The sequence below is a fragment of the Homo sapiens genome, chromosome 3 (assembly GCF_000001405.40).
Source record: "Homo sapiens chromosome 3, GRCh38.p14 Primary Assembly".
Classification (NCBI taxonomy): domain Eukaryota; kingdom Metazoa; phylum Chordata; class Mammalia; order Primates; family Hominidae; genus Homo; species Homo sapiens.
This window is the reverse complement of record NC_000003.12, coordinates 106,763,927-106,771,457: the sequence shown is the minus strand read 5'-3', so window position 1 is coordinate 106,771,457 and position 7,531 is coordinate 106,763,927. Positions and strand designations below refer to the sequence as shown.

General features: G+C 36.2%; 1 annotated feature.

The window, feature by feature from the left end:
• Positions 5,360 to 6,559: an enhancer, noted in NCBI's record as "P300/CBP strongly-dependent group 1 enhancer chr3:106483746-106484945 (GRCh37/hg19 assembly coordinates)". NCBI's record gives its function as "activates an origin of replication core promoter dependent on BRD2, BRD4, P300/CBP, MED14 and CDK7 cofactors, with strong dependence on P300/CBP, by STARR-seq in HCT116 cells {active_cell/tissue: HCT116}" and the evidence as "EXISTENCE:reporter gene assay evidence [ECO:0000049][PMID:35650434]".

Genomic DNA, 7,531 nt, shown 5'->3' with positions numbered 1-7,531 from the left:
CATGTGCATAATGATTTCTCAATGGTAGGATCCATCTTCTATTTATTTTGCATTCTCCACCCAAAGAACATTGTACAGTGCCATACACACAGGGGATACTTAAATGAAAATAATGTATATTATTTTGGTGTTTAAAACCTTTTGAACCATTTAGGTAAGGCTTAGAATTTAGCATTTGGCTCACTAGAACAAGGATTATATAGTTTCAGTCAACTACACAATCTTTAATTTTAAAAAATCTATATTGTAGAATGTTCCAAATATTTTTCACATAAGGTATTGATTTCATTTTATAGAGGAAAAAAAGTATCAACAGCAACTTAAGCCCACTGGATGGATTTAAGGTTCTCCTACATTCCCAACACGTCTATCATAAAGACGCCAATGAAAGGTTATAACCCAGATGGAAACAAGACTCCAAATGCCAGTAAACCAAAGACAACTTGAGATCAGGTGAGATTATGGGTCTTAATTAATCATGGGAAAAAGAAAAGCATATTCAGGTTTGTAGCCCCAAAGTAATGAAATTCCCTTTAAAACTATGTCTACTTTTAAAATTTTTAGGGGAAATGCTTAAAATAAAAAATGGCAGACATTATTATATAGAAATATAAGTTCTGAATCAACCTAAGACATACTTTCTACCTTCTATATAAACTATTCAGAACCAAATCTCTTATAAAAGGGATACCTTTTTATCAATAAATAAAAATGACAATTAAATATTATACATTTCTTTGGAAATCCATAGGCCATGGAGTTATTAGCTCAACTGTCACTGGAAGACCCTAAAAACATGCCTAAAGTACAAATCAAAAATACACCAGGACACTTACCAAGAGCTGCCATGTTATTATTGCAAGCAACAAGAACTTAGAAGGCCAAGATTAGCTATCTTCAGGAAGGTTTTCCAGAAGTAATCAGTTCTGTCCTCAGAGTTGTAGACATTATTGTTGCGATTTAGGAGGCTGGCTATAAGGCAACAGGAAATGATCAATGGAGAAGGTAATTGTTGAAAATGCTATAACGTGTCATGTGATGAAAATATGTTGAAAATTAATTCAAGAAATCTAGAAAATGGTGGTGGGAGCAGCTGGGAGAAATAAAAACTTCTCAATAGTTAATATTTTCCTAAATATATTTTCTAAGAGAGATAGCAGTCTATCTCTAGAAACTCAAAGGCACCCATATGTTTTTTACTCAGCTTGAATGCAATAAAACATTCATTGAGACTATAAACATACTGACCAGAAAAAATTAAAATTACTAATTTGATTTCTCAGATACCATAATACTGGTGGGGAGGTAACCTTGGTAGGAAATATAAACATTAAGGTCCACTTCTATGTTTTACTGCTAGTTTTAAATTAATCAAATTTTTAGCCCTAAACAGCATAAATGTGTACATTTTATGTCTATAACCTAAAATTTAGATGACCCTTGGATCAAAGCATACACATTTTCAGAGTTGTAGGATATTGCAACTGAGTTATATCTGGCATTTACACAATTATCCAATGTTTGTTATTTCTGAGCTTCTCAAACACATCAGTAACACAAGTATCTGTTTGTTATGTTTTTCAGCATCATATTTATTTCAATTCCAAGTCATTCAACAGAACATATGTCTGCACCTAAAACCTTTTATGAGTGTGTATAAAAATACACCATTATAGACCAATGTAACTTTAATTTTCTTGCCAAATAAATGTATCCTTACCAAATATTTCAAATATTTTCCATCATTGCAGAAACTCTGCAGTAAAATTTTTGTTAATGAGCATAACCGTAACTTTTAATTAAAAATACTAGTCAGTTGAGAGAGCATAATGGGGCATTCTTACCCCAAAGCCTTCTCCTGTAAAATATAACGGACAATAGAGTTTGTTAGTTTTCTGCTTTTATAAATTGTAGTAGTCTTGTGTGGCAATGGGAAGATGATGCTATCTGCTATCTATTAATATTTACACATCTGCTTATTTACTTTTAACACATCAATCATAAGCCAGGGGCTAGAGTTAAGTAGATTTTTATTTTCAGACTCTTGCTTGATCCATGACCTGTCTGCTGGTTAAGAGGCTGTAATGAAGGCTATTTAGCCCACATTGCTTCTGGAAATAGGTTTAGCACTCCATAAATCCTATGTTTTACTTTATTTACACCATTCACACATGCAACCTTTATCCTGTTCATCTACTTGGAGTCTAATTTAATTTACTGATGAATGTGCATTACTCACTCAACCATAAAGTGGACTTGATTCAACTATAACTATTGTAAGCTAATTGTTCTCTGTTGGATTTAAAGCTGATAATGATGTACAGTGACAGGTTTAACAAATTTTCAATTACCACATTCAATTACTTTGGGTGCATCCCACATATCAGTGAGCCAAACACTTAATTCATTTAAAGTTTTAATAAGGAATATGGGATGAGATGATTAATTAGGGAGACTCCCAGGACAGGTCTTGCACTTTTGATGTTATTAAACAACTCCCTCTATTTTGCTTTACATGTTGATTTTAGAATCTAGCCTGTCTTGTAGAAAATGTAATGCTTACTTGCCACATGTTCCTATCTGGAAAACAGATTATCCAGCATGCTGAGATTGCATTAATATATATGTCAGTAAATTAATATTTGTGGCTTAAGAATTATTAAATGTTATTTTGAAAGATCAGTGATAGTATGAAGGTCAGTTATTTATCGTATAACTGATTCATTTCTAAGTCTATATTTATTGATTATATCCATTACAAAGAACAAGGATCTAAAGAGGTTAATACGAAAATTGACTTATACTGTTTTACTCTTTGAGTTAGTGGAAGAGTTAGTAAAAGATAATTTTAAGGTATGCCCATAGATAAAGACAAGTTCATTTTGTTCCTATAAATGTAATTAAATATTTTGTGAATTTTTACACTTAAGATGGCAATTTGAGGCACTCTCGTTGTTTTTTGTTTGTTTGTTTGAAACAGTCTTGCTCTGTTGCCCAGGCTGGAGTGCAGTGGCGCAATCTTGGCTCCCTGCAACCTCTGCCTCCTAGGTTCAAGCGATTCTCCTGCCTCAGCCTCACCAGTAGCTGGGATCACAGGTGTGTGCAACCACGCCTGGATAGTTTTTGTATTTTTAGTATAGACGGGGTTTCACCATGTTAGCCAGGCTGATCTCAAACTCCTGACTTCAGGTGATCTGCCCGCCTCGGCCTCCCAAAGTGCTGAGATTACAGGCATGAGCCACCGTGCCCAGCCAGAACTCTGTAATATAATAACACATATTTTGACCAATAGAGGCTGCAGGCAATAGTGAAAAAAATAATTAGAGGCTGGAGTCCTGGAAATTTAGTCTTTCTCCTGTGGTTTTCTTAATGTGAACTTTATGCTACTCATATAACTTCTTTATGGTTTAATGTAACTCACTAGAAAAAGTGATAATAAGAGGCTAAAATTCATTCAGTTAGGATATACTATGCACTAGCCATTATTTAAATATTAGCTCATTTGATTATTTTGACAACCCTTATGGGGATAATTATCTTCATCATGGAGATAAAGAAACTCAGGATCAGGCTTTTTGAATACTCTGCTCAATACCACAAGTCCTCTATGTGACAAAGGTAGAATTCAAACTCAGATTTATTGAATTATTCAGCTTAGGATTTCCTCACTGTTACACCTTACAGCTCTATACTTCCTAAGTGTCCTGAGAGGGCAATTAACCTAATAGAGGTGTTGTAGTGGGAACTGGTTGAAAGGAAGAACAGATGGGAGCAATAATTGGCTTTCTTTCACTCTTCCTTATTTCCTGCATTTTTGTTTGCTCCTCTGAAGGAGTAGTTCTGAAGGAACTACTTTTTACTAACATAGAATGGTTTTTGCTAAATTTCCGTTAGTAATTATAGTAGTATTCTATTGCTGCTGTAACAAATTGCCACAAGATTAATGCCTAAAACAACCTACATTTAGTATCCTACAGTTTTGTAGGTTAGAAGTCTGATACAGGTCCTGTTTGGATAAAATAGAAGTGTCAGCAGGGTGGAGTTTTTCTCTGGAGCATCTAGAAGAACCTGTTTGGTTGCTTCTTCCAACTCCTAGAGGCTGCACACACTCCTTGGCTGATGGCCCCTTCCTCCAAATTCAAAGCCAGCAATGTCACATCCCTCCAAGTCTGCTTTCATCATCACATCTCTTTCTCTTACCACAGCCAGGGAAAGACTGTTTTTAAAGACTCATGTGATTAAGTTGATTGATAGCCACAATATAATCTGTGTGCCACCCACAGGATAATATCTCCATCTGAAAGTCCTTGACCCTAATTACATCTGCAAAATCCAATTTGCCATATAAGATAACATAGTCAGAGGTGTAAGCGATTAGTGTGTGGACATCTTTCAAGGAAGGATATTATTCGGCCAACCACAGTGATAAAGATGCATCAATAATTTCATCAGTATGAAGCTTCACAAAATAGGGCCAGACAGGGTGGCTGATGTCTGTAATTCCAGCACTTTGGGAGGCCGAGGTGGGTGGATCACCCGAGATCAGGAGTTCCAGACCAGTGTGGCCAACATGGTGAAATCCCATCTCTACTAAAAATACAAAAATTAGCCAGGCATGGTGGTGCATGCCTGTAATCCCAGCTACTTGGGAAGCTTGAGGCAGGAGAATCACTTGAACACGGGAGGCTGAGGTTGCAGTGAGCTGAAATTGTGCCACTGCACTCCAACCTGGGCTACATGAACAAAACTCTATCTCAAAAAAAAAAAAAAAAAAAGTTTTACAAAATAAAGAGGATACTAGATTTTGAGAAGGATTTTTTTTTCTCTTCTGATGATTTCCTAGTGTTTTTTATGCTACCCTCACCTCTTCCTGGCAAATATTGGGAAGAGTAATTATGACAATCCAAACCTGTTTACAATAGTGACCAACAGAATGATCTCTCATTTTTTTTTCCCTGGACAAGTTTCCTTAAGGAAACAAAGTCTAAGAGAAGAACCAGTGAAATAATATGCAATTAGAGTATTTAATTCAATGTACTGATCATGACTAAATCAATGGCATCAATTATAAGCACACTCAGTATCTGGAATCTCATCGGCATGTACACTTAATTAAGCTCTTTTATATTATACCATAAATCTTATTTTTGATCTCATATTTAAATGGTCTCACTTTTAATCTGATTCAGAAAGCCCCTGAAGACTTCTGAGTTTTTCCTCCAATAAGAGCCTGGTTTAACCAGGTTCTATCATTAAGGGTTAGTCAATTTGCCTGAGAGTTTCCCTCATTATAAATCACTGCCATGAAATGAAGAACCTACTACCAAGTTTACTAGGAGAGGTGAATGTGCAGCTCACTCTTAAAACTTTAGTTCTATTTGGTCAGATTCCATTTCATTTTGTAGAAGCAAAAATGTAAATTATTTTGTAGCTCTCCTGCCTCTTTCTCCTTATTTGCTCTGTTTTTCCTCAAGGACTTTTTAACCTGCATATACTTTCCTAAATTTCTTAACTTGACTCATTTAACTCCTATAATTTGATTCTCTTCATTCAGTTGAACAGATCTCATCCAATCAATTCTACTATACACCTATTCCTGAAGGAGTTTCTGAAATAATTGTTGTTTTTCTTGCCCTAAATTTTTTTTTGCCTACAATGAACTAATTGCCATACATATTATGGACTTATCAGAAATCGAAAGACTCCATTATGCAATAGTTTTGATAATTGTTTTTGAAAATTATCATCATGCCAAGCGTCAGGTTCCAGTCCAAGCTAAGGTCTGAGGGGAGTGAGTGGGTGAGTGGTGAGTAACTGTAAAAACACTTGAGGAATCGTAGGCAGTTTTGACATGGCTTATTCTCTCTCTGGGTGCAAGCCTGGGTGTGAGCCATAGGTACAGTGGCAGCAGGGTAATTATACCTTTTGCAGACAATAGTGGCTCTGAGCCGAGTATGAGCTTGCGTGAGTGGTTTCCTAATGTGCCTTACATGGAGTGATTACATAATATGTGGGGGTGGTGTGCCTGCGCTCCAAACCCACTGAGTCACACTTCACCAAAAGGCCACCTCAGTCTACTCCTGACTAAAGCGCAGCCATTTCCGTTACAAGTATATTCTGTCAAAATATTACTATAGTTTGCTCCCTTACTATACCTTAATCAAGCCATAAATTAACCATTATGTCATTTCTTTAATTTTGATTAAGGTAATCTTGTTAATCATGGAAAGGCTTTTTGTTTCTTTCAAAATCAAAGCTACCCATTACAAACATTCTTTCGCATTTTTTTCTTTTGTTTTGCAAATAGTGTATTTTTTGCAAGCAGTTTGTGTGTGTATGTATACATGAAAAATCTTATCATTTTGTAGGTAATAATCTCCCTTGGCAATCTAGGTGTGTTAATCATCATCTAGGAGTGCTAGTGATCATTATTTTTCTTAAATTTCTTCATAACTTTTCAGTTACAGTTTTCAGAGATGCTTCTGCAGCTTAGCTTATAACTATACCAGAAGCAATGTCTTTTAGGCCTGTATTTGGATATTTTATAACTTTGTGGTATTTGTATTTTCACTGCTGCTATTATTTTTCACCATGATGTAAACACCTGGAAAAAGCAACCTTGAATAAATTGTTTAGATGATGTGCTAAATCCTCAAGAAATTAAAATACTGTTTTCTCAATGGTATACTCAATGAGAGTTTAAAATGCAGGTGCTTGAAGAAATGTTAAGGTACAACTAATCATAATCTCAGACATTTATTTTATGTCATTTCATTTTGAGACAGGATCCTCACTCTGTCACCCAGGCTGGAGTACAGTGGTGTCATCTCAGCTCACTGCAGCCTCAACCTCCCAGGCTCAAATGACTCTTCCACTTCAGCCTCCTAAGTAGTTGGGAGTACAGGTGCACCTCACCACGCTCAGCTAACTTTGGTATTTTTTGAAGAGATGGGGTTTTGTCATGTTGCCCAACCTGGTCTTGAACTCCTGGGCTCAAGTGACCCACCTGCTTCTGCTTCCCACAGTGGTGGGATTACAAACACGGGCCACCTCACCTGGCTCAGACTCATTTTAAATAAACACTCCAGTTAATATTTAGTAATAATTATAAAATTATAATAAAATTATAGCTTTGGTAGACAGAATTCTAAGATGAGCCTCACAATTCATACTCCCTGATAGGAATCCCCTTCCATTGAGTGCAGGGGAGAACTCTGACTATAATGGAATATCACCATGATTAAGTTACCTTGAATGGCAAAGGTGAAGACATTTAGCAGATGTAAGTAAGGTCCCTAATCAGCTAGTTTAAATTGATCAAAAGATCCTGTGAGTATCTGACACAATGAGGTGAGCTCTTTTAAAAAATAATTTGGCTGGGCGCGGTGGCTGATGCCTGTAATCCCAGCACTTTGGGAGGCTGAGGTGGGTGGATCACGAGGTCAGGAGATCAAGACCATCCTGGCTAACATGATGAAGCCCCGTCTCTACTAAAAATACAAAAAATACAAAAAAATTAGCTGGGCATGGT